The sequence below is a fragment of the Homo sapiens genome, chromosome 8, assembly GCF_000001405.40.
Source record: "Homo sapiens chromosome 8, GRCh38.p14 Primary Assembly".
Lineage (NCBI taxonomy): Eukaryota > Metazoa > Chordata > Mammalia > Primates > Hominidae > Homo > Homo sapiens.
The window spans coordinates 46,576,813-46,604,725 of NC_000008.11; the positions used below are offsets into that span (position 1 = coordinate 46,576,813).

Sequence of the window (27,913 nt, forward strand, 5' to 3'; positions counted from 1 at the left end):
TTTTCCACTGCACAGTCTAGAACCACATGTAACTGCCTCCCTGCGCAGCTTCCACTCTGCTTCCTCATAGCCAGACTTTCCCTTCCTAGGGACCTACTCCAAGGATCCTTTATCACTGATTCTAGACCAAACTAAGGCAATTCCAAGACAGGAGGCATTCAGGAGCATGCTCTGACTCTGTGGCCTCAAGATGGTCATATCACAGTCTAATTCAAGCTAATTTCCCACAAAGTATAATCATTTGGAGGCTGGGCTATGATAGGCTTAGGATTCACTCCTTTTTATATTTTCCTTGTAAAGGACTTAAGATTTCTGGCCTTATGTTAACCAAAATAATCTACTCACACATATACAATTGTCCCTTTATAGGAAGAGATCTTCAAGAAAATGTTAAAATTTTAAAAGTACATTTTGGTGGATTTTACTTTTCATTTTTTTTTTTAAATAGAAGTGTATCATTTTGTCAAACTATATGGTACCTTTTAGCAGATTTTAAGAGAAAGTGAAATGAACCTCCAAAGGGCAGGTCATTCACAATAGTTCTCACATCAGACTGAAATGGCAGAATGACATCACCTAATAATCTTTTAATTTTGCTTAAAAGGACTGGACTATTGGTTGTTAGAGATGCTGTGTAGATTAGTGTCTCCTTGGCACTAAATTACCAATATCCAGGAAAACAGCCTTGGCCAGTAAGTGAGCTATTAAGTCATGTATACAACAACCCAAGGGCCACCATTTCTTTGAAACTTCTACAATTTAAATTGCAAAAGAAGAGAAAAAGCTATCTTTATTCTTTGTGCCAAAAACCTGTGTAAATCTTGTGTGTGGCTTGAAATCCAGGAAGTTGCTGCCATTATACTTGACCTGTAGTTTGCTGCTATGAAATAGCCTTAACTAAGTATCTTTACTATGAAACTTCTGGGTGGTAACTAAATATGCCAGATCTCAGTCACTAAAGTTAAAAATGTAGAGCCAAACCCCACTCCCTGGAAAACTGGCAGTTTGGGGTTCATGTTATACCTTAATCTTGTCGTATACACTGTGTAATCATTATCAACCAAATTTCCCAAGTATTTTCGATGTCATTTACCATGGCTGTCTGAGGCTCTACCAGGAATAAATGTGCCTAGAATCAAATCATTCTAGGTTTAGGCAATTTAAGCAACTGCAAACACAAGATAATCATTAAAAGTCATCTACTAGGGCTGGGTGCAGTGGGTAACATCTGTAATCCCAGCACTTTGGGAAGACAAGGTGGGTGGATCACTTGGGGCCAGGAGTTTGAGACCAGCCTGACCAACATGGCAAAACACCATCTCTACTTAATATACAAAAATTGGCCAGGCACAGTGGCACCTGCCTGTAATCCCAACTATTTGCTAGTCTGCGGTACAAGAATTGCTTGAACCCAGAAGGTGGAGGTTACAGTGAGCAAAGATAGTGCCACTGCACGCCAGCCTGGGTAACAGAGCAAGTCTATCTAAAACAAAATAAACAAACAAGCAAACCAAAATCATCTAATACTAATGACATTTCCTCAGTTTCTTAGAGATATTCTTAAATTGTAAAGGCCTACAGCTAGCAAAAAATACATTCTTCTTCCAATTTTATTTATCTGTACACCAGCAGTTCCCTTTTCAAAAGTTTTTAAGAGCTAAGTTCACCCTAAACAACAAATTACCATTCAAATGAAAATCTTCTACCTGTTCTTTGAATGTGTTACTACGCTCTCTTTCAAGTAGGTTTAGACTTTTACCAGAAATGCTTAGTTAGCTTGGTTGTCCCTCTACAACAGAGATCAAGAAACTATGGCCCATGGATCGTATGTGGCCCGCCATCTGCTTCTATAAGTAACTTTTAATAGAACATGGCCATGCTCATTTCTTTACACATTGTCTATGTAACTGCTTTTGCACTATAAGGGCAGAGCTGAACAGTTCCAAAAGAGGTCCACAAAGCCTAAAATGTTTACTATCTGGCTCTTTATTAAAAGAAAAGCCTGACCCCTGCTCTAGGACAAGTCTCCAGAAGTGACTTTGGCTCAACATAAAAGAAAAAAATGAACTATTATCTTGCTAAATAGAGCTGTCATGAACTCCTATACAAGACTCAAGTCTCAAGTCTGCCTAGGCAGCTGTTAGGAATGCAGGCAGAACAAAAATAGTGTAGTCCTTTGATGACTTCCCTAAGATGAGGCAAGGACTGGAAGGAAGCCATGTGGGCACACGACGCAAATGTCATCTAAAGCAGCTCTGCCAGGAGAGTGCTGTGAGTTCTTGTAGACATCAGAGCATTTTCCCTTCTCCTAGATTACCCTTTGCTTCACTGTGATACAGCAAAAAATTTCTAGTTACCTCTTATGAGGAGACTGTATGAACATAAATGACTATAGCAATGTTTTAGATTTAGGACTTTTATTTTTTTCACATTCAAGTTAGCCTGAGTTGACTTTCATTGTTCCCCTATCTACCCATAGTCCCCATACAATAAGAAGAAATATTTGCTTTCATATTACAGCATAAAGAGCACCTAAGCTTTGGCAGCTGACTTGTAGTGGGTCAGTGTGTGGGCAGAAGGGTCAGTGGCATCGATCCACTTGGGCACCCAGTAATGGCTCAGCCAGTCAGCCTGGCCTGGGAAATGGTGTTCAAGGATTTGATGGTAGTAGTATCCTTTGGTTTTAGGAGTATTGAAGGGAAATTTCTGGGCTGCATTTGCCATCATTGCATCATCAACCTGTAAGAATAAAAATATAAGAGCAGAACAGTTTCTTTAAAATGGCATGGAAATACTTGTATTTACTCTAGTTTCACAGAACAGAAAACGTAAAGATAAGATATGACTGTAAATTGTATGAGACCCTTTGAATCACCCATCACTTAGAAAATGTTAAAGTATTCATAATATGCATAGCTGCAGTGACTTTTAAGAAACATTCATATGCATATTTTTAATTCTTGGTGGCTCTGTTTCAGTAATTTGTGCCTAACAAGATCTGGCACCCAGAAGGTGCCCAAAAATGTGTTAAATGAAGGTCAGTGATGATTAGTAGTAAGTCTCCTCTCTCTTTCAATTCCAGATGGTACTTTATAATCCTTCATGCTACTTAATTCTTATATAATTCTTATAAAAGAGATAATTGTTTCCAGAGACTATGAATCTCTCTTAAAGGGACAAAGCATTCAAACTAAATACAAAATGAACAGCAATGACAGCTCTGCATCCAAAGTGTCCTATTCCTGAAAATGTTTTTAAAGACAATATACCTGATGTTCAACATATTTCTGTAAAATCTTAAACCAGGAATTCTTAACTGAAGTTATTCCATCACTGAAGACTTCTTTTGGTCACCAGAGAATCTCTTTGAGTATCAGATTGGAGTCCTCAAATGTCTCTCTCAGGAGATGTTTTTCTATCTCATTCTAACATGAAAAAAAGGAGCATCAGTAAAAGTTACAAATATAATCTGATGGCAGTGGACAGTTTGTTGCGGGAAGCCAGGGACCACGAACAGAGGGACCCGCTGAAGCCCTGGCAGAAGAACATAAATTGTGAAGATTTCATGGACATTTATCACTTCCTCAATTAATACTTTTATAATTTCTTAAGCCTGTCTTACTTTAATCTCTTAATCCTGTCATCTTCATAAGCTGAGGATGTATGTCACCTCAGGACCCTGTGATGATTGTGTTAATTGTACAAATTGTTTGTAAAGCATGTGTGTTTGAACAACATGAAATCTGATTGTAAAACATGTGTGTTTGAACAATATGAAATCAGGGCACCCTGAAAAAGAACAGAATAACAGCGATTTTCAGAGAATGAGGAAAGATAACCATAAGGTCTGACTGCCTGCGGGGCTGGGCAAAACAGAGTCATATTTTTCTTCTTGCAGAAAGCGAATAGGAGAAATATCACTGAATTATTTCCCAGTAAGGAATAACCCTGGGGAAAGAATGCATTCCCAGGGTTAGGCCTATAGATGACCACTCTGGGAGAGTCTGTCTTATGCGGTTGAGAGAAGGGATGAAATAAGCCCTGTTCTCCTGCAGTGCCCTCAGGCTTGCTGGGATTGGGAAATCCAGCCTGGTGAATTCTAGTCAGACTGGTTCTCTGCTCTTGAACCCTGTTTCCTGTTAAAATGTTTATCAAGACAATGTGTGCCCAGTGGGACATGGACCTTCATCAATAATTCTAATTTCGCCCTTCCCTTGTGATCTTTATGGCCCTTTAAAGCATGTGATTGGCTGGGTGCGGTGGCTCACGCCTGTAATCCTAGCACTTTAGGAGGCTGAGGTGGGTGGATCACAAGGTCGGGAGATCAAGACCATCCTAGCTAACATGAAGAAACTGCATCTCTACTAAAAATACAAAAAATTAGCCAGGCAAGGTCGCGGGCACCTGTAGTCCCAGCTACTGGGGAGATTGAGGCAGGAGAATGGGGTGAACCCAGGAAGCAGAGCTTGCAGTGAGCCGATATCACGCCATTGCACTCCAGCCTGGGCAACAGAGTGAGACTCCATCTCAAAAAATAAATAAATAAATAAATAAATAAAGCATGTGATCTTTGTTACTTACTCCCTGTTCATACCCCCTTCCCCTTTTGAAGTTCCTAATAAAAACTTGCTGGTTTTGTGGCTGAGGGGGCATCACAGAACCTACTGAAATGTGATGTCACCCCCAGTGGCCCAGCTGTAAAATTTCTTTCTTGTACTCTTTCTCTTTATTTCTCAGACTGGCTGACACTTAGGGAAAATAGAAAAGAACCTACGTTGAAATATTGGGGGCTGGTTCCCCCGATATCTGGCACCCAGCATGGTTTTTCTTTTTCCTAAGTGCATGTGGGAACCTGATTCCCTTTGGTAGGTGCAGAGAAACATTCATCGGTTTGGTCCACAGAAACGCGTGTTCGACTCCCTGACAATTGGTGAGTAGTCTGTGAATTTATCCGGGTTAACTTTGGGTCACGCAGAGTCTAAACATTATACTTATCTCTTCCGTATTAAATTCCAGTTAAAACAGAAAAGGGTTCGAGTGCCCATGGAAAATATGGTCACTCTATTCAGGGCAGTGGGAAAACACTGTCCTTGGTTCCTGAAAAAGTAACCTTAGATGTAGACCTGTTAAAACAGGGAACGGTTCAAATGCCTGTGGAAAATATGGTCACTCTATTCAGGGCAGTGGAAAAATGCTGTCCTTGGTTTCCTAAAAAAGGAACTTTACATGTAGAACTATGGGATCGTGTGGTGCAACATTCCGGGAATTGGTCTTGACAGGGAATTTTGTTCCCATCACTGTTTGGGGTGATTGGGCCTTGGTATGTGCTGTCCTAATGACATACCAATCCCTTTACCCCCTGCAGTTACCACAGTTTTCTGAATCTGACGACCCTCCACCTCTTCCTCAACCTTCCTTTCCCACACGGCCTTCATTATCTGATCAGCCTCTCCCTTCGCCTACTCCTCCCCCACCTAACGATTCTGAGAATTCAATATCTAACTCTGGTGACTCTTGCTTAATGTCATCCCCTGATGATCTTATTTCTTTTCACAAAGAGCTGGTACCTGTAGCTCTCGCAGCCCTGACTCAGTCAGCCCAGGACCATATATATGCTAATTCTTCCCTTTTCAAACCTTTGCAGCATTTGCCTCCAGAGTCAGCTAATGGCTCGGGGACCAAACTGCAATTTACCTATAATTCTGCAGGCCCTACCCCATCCACTGCAGCCCCCCACCCTCCTGTCATTTCGGTTCCTCAACCAGTCACTTTGCCATCCACTCAGCCTGCTTCTCTGTACCCTTCTTCACACATGGATGCCAGTAATCACCAGTATACTTCTGCTCTTTCTGCTCCCCCAATGCCCCTTTCTCACTCTCTCATTCCAGTCCAACCCCCTCACCTTCAGTTTCCTTTATCTACACATGCTTTTCCTGTCACTTCTATGCCAACTCCATCTCAGATGCCTACTCTTGAAACTTCAATGCAACGCTTAGTATGCCAAAACAAAGAAATAAGTGGATTAGATGCATGGGCTTATCCGGTCCCGCTAGAACCTCCTAACATCCAAGGGGTACAAATGGGTTATGTACCTCTCAATGTTACCTTTGTAAAACACTTTAAGGATGCTTGTACTCAGCATGGTCCTACTTCTCCTTACGTTAAAATGGTATTACAAACTTTTTGTACTGAGGTCATTTTGCTTCCTTTAGACTGGGACCTTTTGGCAAAAGCTGTTCTAACCCCAGCTCAGCATTTACAATTCTGTACCTGGTGGTCAGAGCAGGCCTGTCTGCAGGCTCAGCTAAATCAGACTAATGGCATTTTTTTTTTTTTTTTCTGAGGCGGAGTCTCCCTCCGTTGCCCAGGCTGGAGTGCAGTGGTGTGATCTCGGCTCACTGCAAGCTCCATCTCCTGGGTTCACGCCATTCTCCTGCCTCAGCCTCCTGAGTAGCTGGGACTATAGGTGCCTGCTAACATGACCGGATGATTTTTCTTGTATTTTTAGTAGAGACAGGGTTACACCGTGTTAGCCAGGATGGTCTCCATCTCGCAACCTGGTGATCCGCCCGTCTCAGCCTCCCAAAGTGCTGGGATTATAGGCATGAGCCGCCATGCCTGGCCCGGACTAATGGCATTCTAATTACTCAGGCTCAGCTCACAGGCTCTGATAGTTTGTCTGATACTTATGCCCAATTAGGCTTTGATGCTCTTACCATGTAACAAGTAACCAAGGTGTGTATGAGAGCTTGGGATAAATTATGTGCCCCAGGCCAAGCTCCTGTTTCTTTTACTACTGTTAAACAAGGTCACACTGAATTATACCCTGATTTTTTAGCTAAATTACAAGATGCTGTGGAAAAATCTACCTCTGATGAGTGCACTCAAGGTATTCTCCTTCGTATGTTAGCTTTTGAGAATGCGAACCATGAGTGTAAAATGGCCATGTGTTCCATCCAACAACAAAATTTACCTGATCACAAGATGTTGCCTGCATATATTAAAGCTTGTGAAGGCATTGGATCAGAGACCCACAAAACTATTCTGTGGGCACGGGCCATGAAAGACAGCAATCAGACTGGCTCGACTGATTCTTTTCTTGGAGCCTGCTATAATTGCGGTCAACTTGGTCATAATAAAAAAAAATCGCACTGTTAAAAACTTAAAAGCAGACAAGCCGGCTCAACAAACACAGCCAAATACTGCTGCTACTGTTTGCCCATGTTGTTGCAAAGGTAAACATTGGGCAAGTACTTGCTGCTCTAAGTATGATATAGATGTAAACCCCCTGCCACAGAACCAGAGAAACGGGAAGTGGGGCCAGTCCCAGGCCCCAATATCAAATGGGATGCTTCAGACTCAGACCAACGTTGTGTTTCCACTTCAGGCAGTCAAAACGCAGCCCCCAGCACAAACAAATTTACCTACAGCCAACCCAGATGGGTCCCAGCCTCTTCTTCTGCCTCAGTACAATGCTTGCCCACCTCCACAATAGGGGGCAGGGCGGTCGATCTCTGTAGTACTATTCCTCTAAATTTACTACCTAATTCTTTGCCTTTAATTGTCCCCACAGGGGTCACTGGCCTTCTACCTCAAGGTTTGGTGAGCCTGGTGTTAGGTAGGGCATCCAACTCTGCTAAAGGAATCACCATTCATACTGGTCTCATTAATTCTAATTCCTTTGACAACATTAAACTTATCATGTCTGCCAAGGTTCCTTGTTTCCATTCTGGCCAGTGAGTCAATTGCTCAATTGCTTTTACTATCTAATATCATTTTAAACAAAGGAGATGAGACACGTGGCCCTGGGATGGGCTCCGGTGGTGAAAAAGCTGCTTATTGGATTAATGTAATTTCTAAACAATGGCCCACCTGCATCATACACATGCAAGGAAAAATGTTTGAGGGCCTAGTAGATACTAGGGCTGATGTTTCTATTATTTCCTCTAATTTATGGCCTTCTTCCTGGCTTAAACATCCCACTAACATAGGACTAGTAGGTGTTGGAAAAACTGATGAAGTTTACCAGAGCACATTTATCTTGGCTTGCACTGGCCCAGGTGGTCAAAAGGGTACAATTCAGCCTTGTATCACACCAATCCCCATTAATCTTTGGGGTAGAGATTTGCTAGCACATTGGGGGCTGAAATTAATATTCCACATAACTCCTATACTGCTCCCAGTCAACATATGATGGAAAACATGGGGTTTGTCCCCAGACTCAGTCTTGGCCCAAAACATGAAGGGATTACTGAACCCCTCCCAGTTACTGTAAAAGAAGACAGGGCTGGTTTAGGTTATCCTTTTTAATGGTGGCCACTGTCATGCCTCCTGATCCTATCCCTTTACAATGGAAATCTGACATATCTGTTTGGATTGAGCAGCCATTGCTCTCTAAAGAAAAACTGGAGGCTTTGACTCAATTGGTTTCTAAACAGTTACAACTTGGAAATGTGGAACCTTCTCTTTCCCCCTGAAATTCTCCTGTGTTTCTAGTAAAAAAGAAATCAGGCAAGTGGTGGATGGTAACCGATTTAAGGGCCATTAACGCTGTAATTAAACCTACGGGAGCCGTCCAATCCAGCATGCCTGCCCCTGCTTTAATACCTAAAAATTGGCCTTTCATAGTTATTGATCTTAAAGATTTTTTTTCATATTGCTTTATATAAATCAGATTGTGAAAAATTTGCTTTTACTGTACCATCTATCAATAATCAGGAGCCTGCAGCTCACTATCAATGGAAAGTGCTTCCTCAGGGAATGCTAAATAGCCCTACAATCTGCCAGCTTTATGTTGGACAAGTGCTTTCACCAGTTCGAGCTCAATTTCCCCATGCCTATATTCTTCATTATATTGATGATATTTTCATTGCTGCCCCCACTGATAAAGAATTAATTGACTGTTATCAAATTTTGAGCCACTGTGTCACAGAGGCTGGATTATACATTGCTCAGGATAAAATACAACAGACTGCTCCTGTTCAATATTTAGGAATGGTGGTCGATAAACAATATACTCAACCACAAAAAGTTCAGATTAGGAGAGATTCTTTAAAAACTTTAAATGACTTCCAAAAACTTTTGGGTGACATTAATTACTTACGATCTACTTTCAGCATTCCAACCTATGCGCTAACTTGTTTTCTATGCTGTGGGGAGATTCCAATCTCCACAGTCCCAGGACTTTGACCCCTGAGGTTTCACTAGAACTGTAATTTGTGGAAGAAAGAATCCAGACTGCCCAGTTATCTAGAGTACAGCCATCTCAGCCTTTTCAGCTTTTGGTTTTTGCTTCATTGCACTCCCCTACTGGGCTAATAGTTCAACATAATGATTTAATGGAGTGATGTTTTCTTCCTCATTCTGTGTCAAAAACTTTGTCTGTTTATCTGGACCAAATTGACATCCTAATTGGACAAGCTTGGTGTAGAATACTTAAAATTTCTGGATTTGATCCGAATTTAATTGTAGTTCCTTTAAATTGGCTCAAAATTCAAGCCACTTTTCAACGTTACATACTGTGGCAAATTCACTTGGCTGATTTTATCAGCATTATGGACAATCATTATCCAAAAAACAAACTGTTTGATTTTATAAAAATGACTTCTTGGGTGGTCCCTTGATTGAGCAAAGATCAGCCCATTCCTGAGGCCGTTACAGTGTTCACTGATGGCTACAGTAACGGAAATGCTGGTTATGTGGGTCCTACAGACAAGCTCATTTCTACCCCTTATACTTCTACTCAAAAGGCAGAGTTAATTTCTGTAATTACTGCCTTACAGGATTTCCCCAAACCTTTAAATATTGTCTCCGATTCTGCTTAACGTGGGAAAGAGGATATGCTTGTGTTTCACCAGGAGATCATCAATCCCCTGTCCGGGTGCCCACTACAAGACTTAAACTTCGTGTAAATACTGACAATGAAAACCACAGGGAAAAGATGTCCATGTCAGAGACTGCCCTCAGACATGGTGAGAACTGTGCCAACTCCCCAGAAGCTGGCACACCAAATCAAAATGGGTCTGGTTCAATCCTCCCTAATGGCAATGAAGACCCCTGTAACTAATCCCACTTCTCCTAATTACCTTTCTTTTTCCCCTTACAAACCTAAAAATCTCACCATTTCTATTAGCCTGAAAATAACATCCCTCTGTTCTTCTCTTCCTCCTTCAGCACTGGATCTCTCTTACAATAGGTTTTATTTAATGATTCTCCTCCTTACACCTTCTGTCTCACCAGTTTCCTCTCACACTGACTTACCTGCTACACAAAATTATTCTTACTGGGCTTATGTGCCTTTTCCTCCACTTATTCGAACTCTCACCTGGATGGATGCTCCTGCAGAAATCTATACTAATGATAGTGTGTGGATGCCTGGAGCTACAGAAGACCATTGCCCCGCTCAACCAGGAGAAGAAGGCACTGCATTTAATGTTACTATGAGTTATAAATACCCCCCTCTGTGCCTCGGATATGCACCTGGTTGTATCTATCTAGAAATTCAAGTCTGGGCTGCTTATCTTCCAGAAAATTCAGCTACAGAGGAACCAGGACATTTGGTCTCTGGCCTCTCCCTTTCTCCTTTAAGACAAATGAAAGGGGAAGTAATGGGAGATACCCCATACTTTCAATATAAACCTGCAGGAAAACCATGCCCTAAAAATTTTGAGGGCCCATCTAAAACTTTAATTTGGGATGACTGTGTTAACTCACATGCAGTAATATTAAAAAATGACTCATATGGTTTAGTAACAGACTGGGCACCAAAGGGCTATTTAAAAACAATTGCTCCTCTGGCAGAAGGGAATGCCTGAGGCTACTTATTTTATTTCTTATACGGAGAACGAGAATCATCCTTCTACTTTGCACAAGAGGTTCAGTTCATTCTTTCTCTTAAAATGGGAAGATAAAGGCATTACCCCCTGAGGCCTCATATGATATTCCCCATTCTGAGCCCAGAAAACCCAGAACTTTGGAAATTGGCTATTGCCATGTCTGGACTGTGAGTATAGGAAGGTGAAACTTTTCTGTCTGCTGTCCCCACCACCATGACCCTCGCTCAGTATCAACATAGATTCAGACATTCTGCTTTGCTTCCCTCCAATCTGACTATTCCCATACAGAGTTGTGTTAAGCCACCTTACATGCTGTTAGTGGGAAATATCAAAATTTGGACGAACAATCAATCCAATAAATTAATTGTCATTTATACACTTGTATTAACTCCCGTTTTGACTCCAGGAAAAGTGTAATGTTGGTTCGAGCTCAAGAAGGAATCTGGATTCCAGTAACTTTGCCCAGGCCTTGGGAATCCTCCTCCTCAATACATTTGATTAATGAAGTGTTACAGTGAATTCTAAAAAGATCTAAGAGATTTGTTTTCACTTTAATGGCTGTGATCATGGGCCTAATTACAGTCACTGCAATGGCCATCACTGCTGGAATGGTGTTACATCAATCTATTCAAATGGCTCATTTTGTTAATGATTGGCAAGCCAATTCCACCCAAATGAGGAATTCTCAACAAGGCATTGATCAAAAATTGGCTAATCACATTAACGTTTTAAGACAGTCTGTTATTTGGCTTGGAGATCGGGTAGTGAGTCTCAAACATCGCATGCAAATGCAGCGCGATTGGAACACTTCTGATTTCTGTATCATGCCATATTCCTACAATGAGACTGATAATTCACGGGAAATGGCCAAAGGACACCTTCTGGGTAGGGAAGATAATTTATAATTATACTAAATTAGAGAATCAAATTTTTGAAGCCTGTCAAGCTCATTTATCCATTGTGCCTGGAGCTGAGGCGTTAGATCAGGTGGCAGAAAATCTTTCTGGATTAAACCCCATGACTTGGATTAAGTCTATTGGGGGCTCCACTGTAGTAAATTTTGGAATTATGTTTATCTGTTTAATTGGTTTGTATTTAGTATGCTGGACCAGTCAAAGAATCCTGCATCAAAATTGAGAGAATTAACAAGCCTTCATTGCCATGGCACATTTATATAAAAAGAAAGGGAGAGATGTTGTGGGAAGTCAGGGACCCTGAACGGAGGGACCGACTGAAGACGTGGCAGAAGAAGATAAATCGTGAAGATTTCATGGACATTTATCACTTCCCCAATTAATACTTTTATAATTTCTTAAGCCTGTCTTACATGAAATCTGATTGTAAAACATGTGTGTTTGAAAAATATGAAATCAGGGCAACCTGAAAAAGAACAGAATAACAGCGATTTTCAGGGAACAAGGAAAGATAACCATAAGGTCTGACTGCCTGCAGGGCTGGGCAGAACAGAGTCATATTTTTTTTTTTTTTGCAGAAGGGGAATAGGAGAAATATTGCTGAATTCTTTTCCCAGCAAGGAATAACCCTGGGGAAAGAATGCATTCCAGGGTTAGGCCTATAGATGACTGCTCTGGGAGTGTCTGTCTTATGCGGTTGAGAGTAGGGATGAAATATGCCCTGGTCTCCTGCAGTGCCCTCAGGCTTGCTAGGATTGGGAAATTCCAGCCTGGTGAATTCTAGTCAGACTGGTTCTCTGCTCTTGAACCCTGTTTCCTGTTAAAATGTTTATCAAGACAATGTGTGCCCAGCAGGACATGGACCTCCATCAGTAATTCTAATTTTTGCCCTTGCTTTGTGATGTTTATGGCCCTTTAAAGCATGTGATTGGCTGGGCACGGTGGCTCATGCCTGTAATCCTAGCACTTTGGGAGGCTGAGGTGGGTGGATCATGAGGTCAGGAGATCGAGAGCATCCTGGCTAAAATGATGAAACCCTGTCTCTACTGAAAATACAAAAAAATTAGCCAGGCGAGGTGGCGGGTGCCTGTAGTCCCAGCTACTGGGGAGGCTGAGGCAGGAGAATGGCATCAACCCAGGAGGCAGAGCTTGCAATGAGCTGAGATCATGCCACTACACTCCAGCCTGGGCAACAGAGTGAGACTCTGTCTCAGATAAATAAATAAATAAATAAAGCATGTGATCTTTGTGACTTACTCCCTGTTCCCACCCGTCTCCCCTTTTGAAATCCCTAATAATAACTTGCTGGTTTTGCGGCTCGGGGGAATCACAGAACCTATCAAAATGCGATGTCACCCCCAGAGGCCCAGTTGTAAAATTTCTTTCTTGTACTCTTTCTCTTTATTTCTCAGACTGGCTGACACTTAGTGAAAATAGAAAAGAACCTATGTTGAAATATTGGGGGCTGGTTCCCCCAATAACAGTTTTATCTTGAGTTGATTTACTACCTTTGGAATTCTCATTTCTGTTGACAGATACAAGTAATAGGAAGAAAACTGATGATCTAGAAATGGGACTCTCAGTTCAAGGCTTAAAGGAGAAAATAAGAAAATCTAAATTAAAATGGGTGTTTAGTGCCCAACAGTTTAGGTTCTGATTCAGTTTCCCATCAATTCAACCAGATCCTAAGAAATGTTAAGGTCATAAAGTCACAAGCCTCCTAATGACTGCCCTACACTAATGAATGAATACAAAAAAATCTTCATTTAAAATAATATATATATCATGTCATCTAGGAAGTAAAACTAACTGAGACTATTACTTTTACTTTCCTTTCTAGGAATAGTTAAATGAATATTTCAAAAAGCAGAAAAAGTTACAAATCATGAGTGACCTAATCATTAAGTAAATACCTTGACTGGACCTTTCTAACTCAGTGTTTTCTAGGTGAGACCATCTCTTCTAACAATTGTGATGACGACACAGTATTTTTTTTACCACTGGTTAATAATTCACATCCAATATGCAATATAAACCAGCATTCTGCTATATTTCATCAAATGCCATATAACCAGTTTCCTGAAGCCTAGTGACTCTAGTTAAGACAAGCATAAGATAATAACCGAATTCAGTTCATTCCCCAAACCCATATTTAATTATATCCAAATCTAAGTGTGATTCAGCAGAGAGAAATAAAACATTTAATGTTAGCTGTTTATCCTATACAGTAAAAGTCTTCAGTTCCTCAACATAACTTTAGACAACCAGAAATGATACCAAAGAAACCCAGTTCTTTATAATGAAATCAAACCCCTTGCAGGTTCACAACCCTATCCCCTCAGGGTCACTACAGCACCAAACAGGCATGGTGGGCACTCAATACTTGTCACATAATGTTTACAATCTTTACCTCTCTTTAAAACACTTAACAATGCTGTAACAACTTTCCCTCTTCCCTCTTGGTTGTTCAGATGTGAGTAGAATGTTGTTACCCTTTAAGGTGAAAATTCCACCTCAAACAACCTGTGGAAGAAGACGTCTCTACATGTACCACAACAACACTTTGAAATGTGGCCTAATTCTTTTGGGACTAAGTTAAGAAACAGCTTCATTTTTTCTATAAAAGTCTCACTTGGTAACATATAGCCAACTCTATGTAACATATAGCCAATTAGCTATTTTTTTTTTATTTTTTTCAGGGCATTGGGCTTTATTTTTTTTTTGGTGTTTTTTGTTTGTTTGTTTTTGTTTTTGTTTTACAATAGCTTCTGTTACCTGTGGGCAGCAGTAGTTTGATCTGCATGGAGAACATCAAACAAATAGAGTTCCCTCAGAAGCCTCTCACTCTCCTCCTTGGCTTTTTCAGAAGGAGCCCATTTCACAAACAAAAGCACCATGAGTTTTGCTTTTGGCCCATAAAGCAGTTTTTATTTCTCCCTCTCTAATCCTAAAGGTGGATAAGACAAAAAGCAAAACAAATTTACGGAAGGGAGTAATAACTGAACAGAGGAAGGCAATGCTTTACAAAACATACCTTCCTCCCCACCAAACTGCTAGTATTAGAATAAAATGAACACACTGGACAATGGTCATAATTCCACAGGGGGCTAAGAAACAGCAGAAAGGTGATTCTTAAGCTTAACTAGTTTTATTTATTTATTTTTAACTTTTTTTTCTTTTTGTAGAGACGGAGTCTGCTCTATCAACCAGGCAGCAGTGCAGTGGTGCAATCACAGCTCACTGCAGCCTCGACCTCCTGAGTTCAGGTGATCCTCCCACCTCAGCCTCCTGAGTAGCTGTGAGTATAAGCATGGGCCACCATACCCGGCAGTGACTACTTTTAAAGAATAAAAATTATCTGACGCTATTAAAATTTCTTTCTTCCCCAAGAGATAGAAAACAAACACTATCAGATTCCCTTTTGTAACCTCACAAGAGACTCAAAAATATTACTGTCATACTGAAAGATGATATAAAATAGTCAAATAATTCATACTTTTCTTAATATAGCACGAATATCCTTCCACTTCAGAGTGCTTACATTGTGAAAATATATGTAACCCTGAATAAGTTCATCTGATCCCTCTCCAGAAAAGATCACCACGCTATCTGTGTTCTTCCGAATATACTTGGAAATTAAATACATACCTTAAATGAGAGAGAGAAATTAACTTTAATGCCAACATAACCTTCCACCAAAAATGCCCTTGATGTGATTTTTGGAAATAATTGAAAACTTTACTACTATACTGGACTTCATATTAATATAAAGTAGTTTCCACAATAATGACCTTATATTTACAAGCAATTTATATGTACTTAATCCAAAAGTACTACTGTAAAATAAAATAACCCAGAACCATTCTGTCATTTTATAAATAGGTTTTAAAATTCTAATATTTTAGACCAAGAATGTCCACCTCAAAACTTTGCTGAGCTAAACAATGACTCAAATACCTAAAAATCATGCCTTTTATGGTGGTATTACAACACAAAAATAAGAATAAGCATTTTGGTGGTTTAGTGTTAATTTTGTTAGGTATCTTGTCCCTGTCACTCCCCATTCACCAGACTTCACATGAAGTTGGGGAGACTATATAAGTTATTAAACCTAACTCCTTGGTTCTGCACCACATCTCTCTAAACCAGTGTTTCTTTTCAACCTTGCTTGTATCATCACCACAGCTAGAGAGACTTTTTAGACATTTATTTTCCTAACCCCACCCCAGCCCCATGAAATTCCAATACCAGAACTATCCTGTCTATCCGTTTATTTATTGTGATGCTTTGGAGGGCCATAAACCATTGTAATACCTAAGATATTTTTGCCCTCCAAGGCAAGTTTCTTGGAGAGAGAGGCAGTAGCATATAAAGGCTCAATAACATTGGATCAGTCTGATTTGGAGTATACTTCCAATCTCAGTAGATACACTATCTATAAGATAAAATTAGTATTGTTTGCAGAGCAAGGATAGCTAATGACTGGCAAGTTGTGTGATGCAATATTTACCAAAATTTATCTAAAATGAGTACTTCTTATCAAAAATGCATTACCAAATAGACCTATTTCCTACAGACTGTACCCCAAGAAACTATAAGAGAAATGGGAGGTAGAGGGCAGAAAATATGTATCTACTTCCTGGGAAAACACCAACAGTGATACCAAAAATGTGGAGGTTGAACTATATATTTATCGTTCCCTTTACTCCAAAAGAGATTCAGAGAATTCTTAAGTGGTCTTAAATAATCAGTAACATAGGGATTTAATTTGCATTCATCCTTAAATAACTATTATTTTAAATAGCTAAATATTTTAAATTATCGCCTGAAATTTTTTTTAAACCTTACATTTTTTCAGTATTAAAAAATCTGTTTATTTAATAATCATAATACCTTACTTACTGAAGCATCAGCTGTTGTAATGTTGTAAGTTTCCAAGGAAAATATGACTTCATCCAGAGCCTGAAAGCCTTCCTCAGAGTTAAAGAGAACTTCATGATGTTCACTTCCAATATGATTTGCCACCTTATTATATAAATGCCCATTTACTTGTTAAAGAAAATAACTTCCCTTGAAAATCAAACATGACAAGAGTTCACAAAGCTTTATGAATTAACAACGGTGAAAATTAAACAAGGAAAAAAGGGAAAAATGATTTTACAGGCCACTACATACAACCCCATCCAGGCCCTGCTTCAACTCCACCACCAGGAAGTAAGTCTCCCCTCAGCTCCTCTGGTGCCAAGACTTTAACCATTCTCCCAGTTGGCGCCTCCCTCCCCACCTATTTTACCTAACCCACCTCATCTCTCTCTAGTCCAACATGGTCCCACACTAAGCTTGGTCTTTTTTGGTCCTTCGGCAATGCCTAATTTTATATCCAGGATGTTATTGCTACATAGAATGGCTCCTCCCCTTATTCTACTTTCCTTGGCTATTTTGGATTCTCTAAGCATTGCTCACCTTGCATTGAGAGTGCTCTCTAGCTCTTTCTCATCCATGCTACAAAAGTTCTCCATAGTGGGAACAAGGTTTCCTGCTCACTGAATACAGACAAGCTGCCCTCTGCCCACAGTATTCTAAATACAGCACTTTTTAAAATAATAATAACAGCTAACACTTACTAAGTACTTACTACATACTAAGTTCTACCCTACTTACTTTACATGAATTATGCCATTTCACCTTAAAACTACCCCACAGAAGACACTATTTTTTTTTTTACATAAATGAGTAGAGCCAGGCTTTCAAACCACAATTCAGGCTCCAAAACCTGCAGTCTTCATCACGATACCAAGCCTTTACGTTATTTTTTAAAAAACAAAAAACAAATAAACACATGAAAAACCTCTTTTTTGAATTTTTCAAGATGGGGTCTTGCTATGTTGCCAGGCTGGACTTGAACTCCTGAGCTCAGACCTCCCACTACAGCCTCCCAAGTATCTGGGACTATAGGTGTGTGCCACTGCACCTGACTTACGCCTTTTCTTTTCTTTCTTTCTTTCTTTCTTTCTTTCTTTCTTTCTTTCTTTCTTTCTCTCTCTCTCTCTCTCTTTCTTTCTTTCTTTCTTCTTTCTTTTTTTTTCACAAGGTCTCACTCTGTCATCCAGGCTCCCACAAACCCAAGACTACAGGTATGCACAACCAAGCCTGGCTAATTTTTGTATTTTTTTGTACAGATGGAGTTTCACTATATTGCTCATGCTGGTTTCAAACTCCTGACCTCAAGTAATCCACCTCCCTTGGCCTCCTAAAGTGCTGGGATTACAGGTGTAGTCACCATGCTCAGACACCTTTACTTTCAAAAGAGCATAATTATCATCATAGGGTCTTTGTGAGAATTGTATGGGTCATAATAGATAAAAGTACATAGAGGACAATGTACAACACAGGGCATATTCAACAGCCATTTCCTTCCATTTTAATACATTTAATTTAAAACAACTGCCCCAGTCAATACAGTAGCAGAAGTAGAGTCATCCATTATTGACTCCACTTTCATTCTAATAACAAGCCTACTCTAACTACACAAGGGAAAGAGACAACACCTTACCTTTCTAGCAGCCAGTAAATCAGGGCTGTCTTCCATGCCAATTACAAATGTCTGGAGAGGATACTGTACTTGGGCCTCTTTGAGCTGCTTCAACAGGGTAGCAGCAACAAGCTGGAGTCCAAGCCCTCTACATGCAAAAGAGGAAGTGGAAGTGTCCTAGTTATGTGTCTTGCATAAGACAGGGACAGAGGATGTACAATCCTGATAAACACCAAGATAATAGTTTTACCATTTAAAATCCCCAAGTTTTATAAACTGAAATCAACTTCAAGAAGAGAAAAGTATATAAACTGTGATAATAGTAGTATTTGAATTGGTTAAAAATCACTACACAGAATTCTAAAGAATGTTCACTGGCTCACTTTTACACCAATAATATAGCTATAGTGTAACTCAAGTTGGAGTATTACTATGACTATTAAATGCAGCTTATAAAAAATTGTTTCCATCCTATAATGAAGGAAAGATTAAATCATATAGTAAATATTTTATAGTAAAAACCAAAGGGATGGCTGCACATCATTTCAATTAAACATGCACGAAGTATAATTAGGTTTCTTAATTGACTTCACCTGATAAAAGGCAACCTGTCTATCATAAAACGCCTCTTTATAGCATCATGAAAAAGGATCCGGAGTTTGTTCTTCACAGTTTCTGTCTCAAAACCTATAAACACGGCAAATAAATCAAACAGCTCCAGAAAATCTTGGGCTGGATGAGTTATTGAAATAAAATACACAATCATCAACATCTATCATGATGGCATTTACTCAATGCTGGAGTCTGCCAAATCTTTATGTATTCCCTCCAAACAAAATAGGAAGTAGGTCTTGAAACTAAAATCATTCAATTGATGTGAAAGTACAGCTTATAACTTTTTCCCTTAGAGAAGGATGGGGAATAGGTGGGTGGGTGGGTGTCTGCTACCTGGAAAGAGTTTCTCCACATTGTAATAGAGCACGTGTGGGGGTTCATCCCGACAGTGATGATATTTAACCATTACCACGGATGCAACTTGGTCATTTGGCTTTAAATCAAAAACTTCATAGTGTCCAGGAAGAAAGGGCTCCACTTTTAAAAAGGGAGTCTTGAAGTGCTTCAATGTAACAAGACCTACAAATTCAAAATGATACATTTATTCAAATTAGGTAACCCTTCCCAATAACTTTCACGATTAGTTAACATCCTCTACATTCCTATTTATTTTCCCTTTTTTAAGACAAACACATGTCCATTCAATAAGCAAAATGGGAAAAAAATTTTAATCACCCAAAGCCCAACTATCTACTTACCAAAGAGAAAATAATGACACAGGGATATACTGCCAAATTACACTAACTTTTAGTAATTCAAAGCAATAGAAAAATCTCCAGTGTTCAATTTCTTCTTAGATAGATTTCTAATCAAGAAAACCTATTTTCTATACTAAAGCAAATATACACAAAAGGAAAAAACACACTTATGAAGCAAAGGGATGAACTGGAGTCCTAATGTTATGATAGGCTGGCAGTCATTTATTTGTCATCCCTGAGGTATTTTCAGAAAATAGCCATGGTTCCCAGACCTTTAACAATCACAATGATCCATTCTTAGCTACTTTAAAGTCAGATGAGAAGACATCTATCCCTTAACTAGTTGTTATACATATATGTAAATAAAACCATATAATTTAAATTTCCTCAATTAATTCTCACAGACAGTACCCAACATCACATCACCATGATCTTTGATACAAACATCAATGTTTTATTGTAAATCGTAACAGACTACCTACATGGAATACTCGTGATTTACAATTTGAGATTGTCAACCCAGGCAGTAACCTGTGTAACACTGAATTCAAATACCAGGAAAAGGACCCAGATTCCCTCACCAGCTAGCAGAGCTCAAGTGAGCCACACAGGCCGGGTAGGGAATGGGGAGTAATTAAAAAGTTTTAAGCAGGCAGTACTATAATCAGATGAGTTTATGACAGGTTATTCTAAAAGCACTGAGAAAGGAAAATTGTTGCAGTATTTCAGATAAGATCATTTGGTCTGGAAAAGGACAGTGTCAAGGATATAAAAAAGAACAATCAAGGAATTTCAGAGGGTAAACTGGATGTGATTATAGTTCCATATCAAGTGATCATCAGGCTCAGAGAAGGTACAGGGAGCAGGTGGCTGCTTTTCCTCAGTGTTCTCTTTGCCAGGCTTGCCCAGCAGTCCTGGCAACTGACAAATATATGATATACATATTCATATACATATACATATATACACTAAATAATCTTGGCACCCTTGTCAAAAATCAGTTGATTATTTATGTATAAGTTCATATCTGACTCTGAATTCTATCCCACTGGTCTATACATCTATCCTGCCAGTATTATGCTGTCCTTATTACCATTGTCTTGTAGTAAGTTTTAAAGCCGTAAGTATGAGTTCTCCTACTTTGTTCCTCATTTTCAAAAGATTATTTTGGCTATTCTTAGTCCATTGCAATTCCATATGAATTTGAGAGTCAGCTTGTCGATTTTACAAAAAACTCATCTGGCATTCTGATAGGGATGAAGTTAAATCTGTAGATCAGTTTAGGGAGGACTGCCATCTTAACAATGTTCAGCCTTCGTCCATGATCATGGGATACTTTTCCATTTATTTAGATCTTCTTTCATTTCTTTCAACAATGTTTTATGGTTTTCAGAGTACATGTTTTATACTTCTTAAATTGATTTCTAAGTATTTTATTCTTTTTGATACTATGATAAATGAAGTTGCTTTCTTTTTTCTTTTTCTTTTTTCTTTTTTTTTTTTTTTGAGATGGAGTCTCACTCTGTCGCCCAGGCTGGAGTCCAGTGGCAGGATCTCGGCTCACTGCAAGCTCTGCCTCCCAGGTTCATGCCATTCTCCTGCCTCAGCCTCCTGAGTAGCTGGGACTACAGGTGCCCGCCACAACACCCGGCTAATTTTTTGTATTTTTAGTAGAGACAGGGTTTCACCGTGTTAGCCAGGAAGGTCTAGATCTCCTGACCTCATGATCCACCCTCCTCGGCCTCCCAAAGTGCTGGGATTACAGGCATGAGCCACTGCACCTGGCCATGAAGTTGCTTTCTTAATTTCATTTTCAGATTGCTCATTGCAAGTATGTAGTACTCAGTTAAAGTGTGTCAAATACCACTGATTTTTGTATATTGATTTTGTATTCTGCAACCCTGATGAACACAAGGGATTTGTACCTAGAATACATAAGGAACTATTACAGTTCAGTAATAAAAAGACAAAATAACCCAATTAGGGATTGATAATTCAAGAATGGATAAACAAACTGCAGTACATGCCAACAAATGGAATATCATTCAGCAATTTAAAAAATGAGCTATCAAGCCATGAAAAAACACAGAAGAACCCTAAGTGTATACTGCTAGGTGAAACAAGCCAGTCTGAAAAGGCTCCATACTATGTGACTACAACTATTATATGACATTCTGGGAAAAGCAAAATTAGAAAAGTAAAAAGATCAGTAATGACTGGGGGTTTAGGAGGAAGAGGGAGAGGAATGAATCAGTGGAGCACAGGAGATTTTTAGGGCAATGAAACTGTTCTACATAATACTTTAATGGTGGGTACATGACATTATACATTTGTCAAATCCAAAATTCTATAAAACACATAGAGTGAACCCTAATGTAAACTATGAACTTCAGTTAATATATAAGTATCAGTTCATCAAATATAATAAATGTAACAGAGTAATGCAAGATGTTAAGAGTTGGGAAAATTGGGCAGGGGCACTGTAGCGGAAGCATATGTGAACTCTCTGCACTTTTCTCTCAATTTTTTCTAAAACGGCTCTAAAAAAATAAAGTCTATTATGTTTCCAAAATAAAATGATCCCTAGCAGGAAAAAAAAATGGCAAAGGATCTGAAGAAATATTTCTCCAAAGAAGTTATACAAATGGCCAATAAGCATGAGATAAGATGCTGGACATCATTGTAAACAGGAAAATCAAATCAAAATCACAATGAGATACCACTTCACATACATTAGAAAGGCTAGAATTAAAAAGTGACACAGTAAGTGTTTGTGAAGATGTAGAGAAACTGAAATTTTAATAAACTGCTGGAGGGAATAAAAAATAATGTAGCCATTTCAAAAGTAGTCTGGCAGTTCCTCAATTATACATAGTTATCATGTGTCCCAGCAATTCTACTACTAGATATACATCCAAGGGAAATGTCTACACAAAACTTGTACACGAATGTTTATAGCAGCATTATTCGTAATAGCCAAAAGGGGTAAACAATGTCCTCAATATCCATCAACTGTCAAGTGGATAAACAAAATCCAGTGTATCCATGTAGTGGAATATCATTTGGCCATAAAGTAAGTACTGATACATGTCACCGCATAGACAAATTTTGAAAGCATTATGCCAAGTGAAAGAATCCAGTCACAAAAGCCCATATGATATATAATCCCATTTATATGAAACATACAGAATAGGGAATCCAGAGGCAGAAAGATTGGTGATTGCCAGGGCTACAACTTCGGGAGTGCAGATGATGGATAGAGAGAGATGGAATTGAAAGCTAAAGGGCACAGGAGGCAGGGAGTTCTGGTGAGTGCCTGCACTCCTAGCTACTAGGCAGGCTGAGGTGGGAGGATTGATTGAGCCCAAAATTTCAAGTCTGCACTAAGCTATGATCACACCACTGCACTGCAGCCTGGGCTGGGCAACTGAGCAAGACACCATCTCAAAAAAAATAATAATAATAAAAAAAAAACCCTGGTTGACTCTTCCAGTAAAAAATAAGGTAAAGGGCATAGGATTTGGTGGAAAAACAATTCTAAAATTGATTGGAGTGTTGGTTACCAACATCTGTAAATATACTAAAATCCACTGAACTGTATACTTCAAGTGAGTGAATTATACATGGTATGTGAATTACCAATAAAGCTGTTTTTGAAATCCTAATATTTGCTGTGCTATAACTTCAGCAAAGTACTGCAGTGCAATAATTGCAGAGCCAACCCTTCCATTACAGTATGGCACAGGAAAACTTAAAACAGCACTTAGGATCAAGCTAGATGCAGAGCATCTATTAGCACAGCAAAAAATAAATGATTGCACTAAAAACTCATCCTTCAAGGATTACAGAATTGAAGTGCTGAAAAGGAGAGTACAACTCCTCTGTTATTTTTAAAAAAGGTAAAGACTCATAACTTAATTAGTTACTGGTAAGCTTCTGGATTGCTCTCTAAGAGATTTTCAAATATAATTTAAAAGAAAACACACAACCAAGATAATAATGAAAATCTATAGAAGAATTTATTATTACCTTTAGCTTCTGAACATACAGCCAAAAATCCCCGTCTTCTGTCATTGCTTTAAACAAAGGTCTGAATCCTTATGTATCTCTGCCCAGGAACACTTTCTTATTGGCAGTATCCAGAAAAAAATTGCAAACACACCATCCAACACACAAATTGTTTGCTCATTTCCTCCTTTGTCATAAAGATGAAAAATTATCTCACCATCCATTTTGGTCTGATATTCAAATTCAAAATGCTGTTGTACCTTAAGAACCACTAGCAAAACCAAAATATTACACTCCTTGTACATTCACTAATAATATTTTTATTGCAAAGTTGCTTCAGTATTTCTGAGCTCTATAATCATTTCATGCACTTTGGTGATTTAGGAGAATCATAGCAATATCAAACTAGGATTTGCTTCAACTCATAATTCTGCAAATTCTGTTCAACATAAAGCTGAACCCATGAAAATTGTAGTTGCAGTCTGATAAACAGAATATAATGGGAACGTATCAGAACCTGTAACCTGTAAATGTAACCTGTGGAAGAATGGAAATGCATATAATACACATACTATACATGTAAAACATATATGTTTATGTATATGCAGATTGAGTATCCCTTATCTCAAATGTTTGAAACCAGAAAGGTTTTTGGTTTTTATTTATTTGTTTATTTTTGGATTTTGGAATATTTGCATATATGTGAGATATCTGGGGGATAAGACCCAGGTCTAAACATGAAATTCATTTATGTTTCATATATCTTATACACATACCCTAAAGGTAATTTTATATAATATTTCAAATAAATTTGTGCATGAAACAAAGTTTGTGTACATGGAACCATCAGAAAGCAAAGGTGTCACTATCTCAGCTACCATGGGAAAACCTATGGCTGTTTGACATCATTGGCCATGATTCCTGTCTCTGAATTTATATGCTACTGATGAGCAATCATTTTCATACACTTATTCACACATAAGTAAAAAATGTGACATACCATTAATACACTAAAAAATAATAAGCAGCATAGTAGCTCACCAGAATACCCGCATCAGCTGTTAAACAGCTGTACAAACAATGGCAGGCAATCAAACTCTACCTACAATTCTGTGTTTTTTTATTAAAATGTTACTATACACTGTATTTTTTTCTTTTTTTTAGATAAGAAGAAATATCAGAAGACTTCAGGGACTAGGAAGCGAGTCCTCTGAGGTTGAGGAGCCATTCTGCCACATGGCTTTTTAAAATGTTTCTCCAGAGTCATCTACCTCATTAACAATGGCTTTTGTCTTGGAAATCTTTGATTTTGCCTGTTCACTCTGATGGTAGTTTCTTTTGCTGTGCAGAAGCTCTTTAGTTTAATTAGATCCCATTTGTCAATTTTGTCTTTTGTTGCCATTGCTTTTGGTGTTTTAGACATGAAGTCTTTGCCCATGCCTATGTCCTGAATGGTAATGCCTAGGTTTTCTTCTAGGGTTTTTATGGTTTTAGGTCTAATGTTTAAGTCTTTAATCCATCTTGAATTGATTTTTGTATAAGGTGTAAGGAAGGGATCCAGTTTCAGCTTTCTACTTATGGCTATCCAGTTTTCCCAGCACCATTTATTAAATAGGGAATCCTTTCCCCATTGCTTGTTTTTCTCAGGTTTGTCAAAGATCAGATGGTTGTAGATATGCGGCGTTATTTCTGAGGGCTCTGTTCTGTTCCATTGATCTATATCTCTGTTTTGGTACCAGTACCATGCTGTTTTGGTTACTGTAGCCTTGTAGTATAGTTTGAAGTCAGGTAGTGTGATGCCTCCAGCTTTGTTCTTTTGGCTTAGGATTGACTTGGTGAGGCGGGCTCTTTTTTGGTTCCATATGAACTTTAAAGTAGTTTTTTCCAATTTTGTGAAGAAAGGCATTGGTAGCTTGATGGGGATGGCATTGAATCTATAAATTACCTTAGGCAGTATGGCCATTTTCACAATATTCATTCTTCCTACCCATGAGCATGGAATGTTCTTCCATTTGTTTGTATCCTCTTTCATTTCCTTGAGCAGTGGTTTGTAGTTCTCCTTGAAGAGGTCCTTCACATCCCTTGTAAGTTGGATTCCTAGGTATTTTATTCTCTTTGAAGCAATTGTGAATGGGAGTTCACTCATGATTTGGCTCTCTGTTTGTCTGTTGTTGGTGTATAAGAATGCTTGTCAATTTTTGTACATTGATTTTGTATCCTGAGACTTTGCTGAAGTTGCTTATAAGCTTAAGGAGATTTTGGGCTGAGACAGTGGGGTTTTCTAGATATACAATCATGTCGTCTGCAAACAGGGACAATTTGACTTCCTCTTTTCCTAATTGAATACCCTTTATTTCCTTCTCCTGCCTAATTGCCCTGGCCAGAACTTCCAACACTATGTTGAATAGGAGTTGTGAGAGAGGGCATCCCTGTCTTGTGCCAGTTTTCAAAGGGAATGCTTCCAGTTTTTGCCCATTCAGTATGATATTGGCGGTGGGTTTGTCATAGATAGCTCTTATTATTTTGAAATACGTCCCATCAATACCTAATTTATTGAGAGTTTTTAGCATGAAGGGTTGCTGAATTTTGTCAAAGGCTTTTTCTGCATCTATTGAGATAATCATGTGGTTTTTGTCTTTGGCTCTGTTTATATGCTGGATTACATTTATTGATTTGTGTATATTGAACCAGCCTTGCATCCCAGGGATGAAGCCCACTTGATCATGGTGGATAAGCTTTTTGATGTGCTGCTGGATTTGTTTTGCCAGTATTTTATTGAGGATTTTTGCATCAATGTTCGTCAAGGATATTGGTCTAAAATTCTCTTTTTTTGTTGTGTTTCTGCCTGGCTTTGGTATCAGAATGATGCTGGCTTCATAAAATGAGTTAGGGAGGATTCCCTCTTTTTCTATTGATTGGAATAGTTTCAGAAGGAATGGTACCAGTTCCTCCTTGTACCTCTGGTAGAATTCGGCTGTGAATCCATCTGGTCCTGGACTCTTTTTCGTTGGTAAGCTATTGATTATTGCCACAATTTCAGATCCTGTTATTGGTCTATTCAGAGATTCAACTTCTTCCTGGTTTAGTCTTGGGAGAGTGTATGTGTCGAGGAATTTATCCATTTCTTCTAGATTTTGTAGTTTATTTGCGTAGAGGTGTTTGTAGTATTCTCTGATGGTAGTTTGTATTTCTGTGGGATCGGTGGTGATATCCCCTTTATCATTTTTTATTGCGTCTATTTGAGTCTTCTCTCTTTTTTTCTTTATTAGTCTTGCTAGCGGTCTATCAATTTTGTTGATCCTTTCAGAAGAAAATTTTCACAACCTACTCATCTGACAAAGGGCTAATATCCAGAATCTACAATGAACTCAAACAAATTTACAAGAAAAAAACAACCCCATCAAAAAGTGGGCAAAGGACATGAACAGACACTTCTCAAAAGAAGACATTTATGCAGCCAAAAAACACATGAAAAGATGCTCATCATCACTGGCCATCAGAGAAATACAAATCAAAACCACAATGAGATACCATCTCACACCAGTTAGAATGGCGATCATTAAAAAGTCAGGAAACAACAGGTGCTGGAGAGGATGTGGAGAAATAGAAACACTTTTACACTGTTGGTGGGATTGTAAACTAGTTCAACCATTGTGGAAGTCAGTGTGGCGATTCCTCAGTGATCTAGAACTGGAAATACCATTTGACCCAGCCATCCCATTACTGGGTATATACCCAAAGGAATATAAATCATGCTGCTATAAAGACACATGCACACGTATGTTTATTGTGGCATTATTCACGATAGCAAAGACTTGGAACCAACCCATATGTCCAACAATGATAGACTGGATTAAGAAAATGTGGCACATATACACCATGGAATACTATGCAGCCATAAAAAATGATGAGTTCATGTCCTTTGTAGGGACATGGACGAAATTGGAAATCATCATTCTCAGCAAACTATTGCAAGAACAAAAAACAAAACACCGCATATTCTCACTCATAGGTGGGAATTGAACAATGAGATCACATGGACACAGGAAAGGGAATATCCCCCGCTGGGGACTGTTGTGGGGTGGGGGGAGGGGGGAGGGATAGCATTGGGAGATATACCTAATGCTAGATGACGAGATAGTGGGTGCAGTGCACCAGCATGGCACATGTATACATATGTAACTAACCTGCACAATGTGCACATGTACCCTAAAACTTAAAGTATAATAATAAAAATAAATAAATAAATAAATAAATAAATAAATAAATAAAAAGGAAATCTTTGATTTTATAAACTGACATGACCTCTTA

At 38.9% G+C, this 27,913-nt stretch overlaps 1 pseudogene across 1 annotated transcript in view; it reads right to left on the reverse strand.

The window, feature by feature from the left end:
- Window positions 1–2,400: 2,400 nt before the first annotated feature.
- Window positions 2,401–27,913, reverse strand: part of ASNSP1 (ASNS pseudogene 1) — a 38,393-nt pseudogene continuing 12,880 nt past the window's right edge. The window contains exons 4-9 of the transcript NR_146077.2: window positions 19,230–19,415; window positions 18,875–18,968; window positions 18,303–18,429; window positions 16,652–16,819; window positions 3,270–3,425; window positions 2,401–2,739 (exon numbers count right to left, since the gene is read on the reverse strand). The product of NR_146077.2 is annotated as an ASNS pseudogene 1 (transcript). The remainder of the gene's footprint in view (window positions 2,740–3,269; window positions 3,426–16,651; window positions 16,820–18,302; window positions 18,430–18,874; window positions 18,969–19,229; window positions 19,416–27,913) is intronic.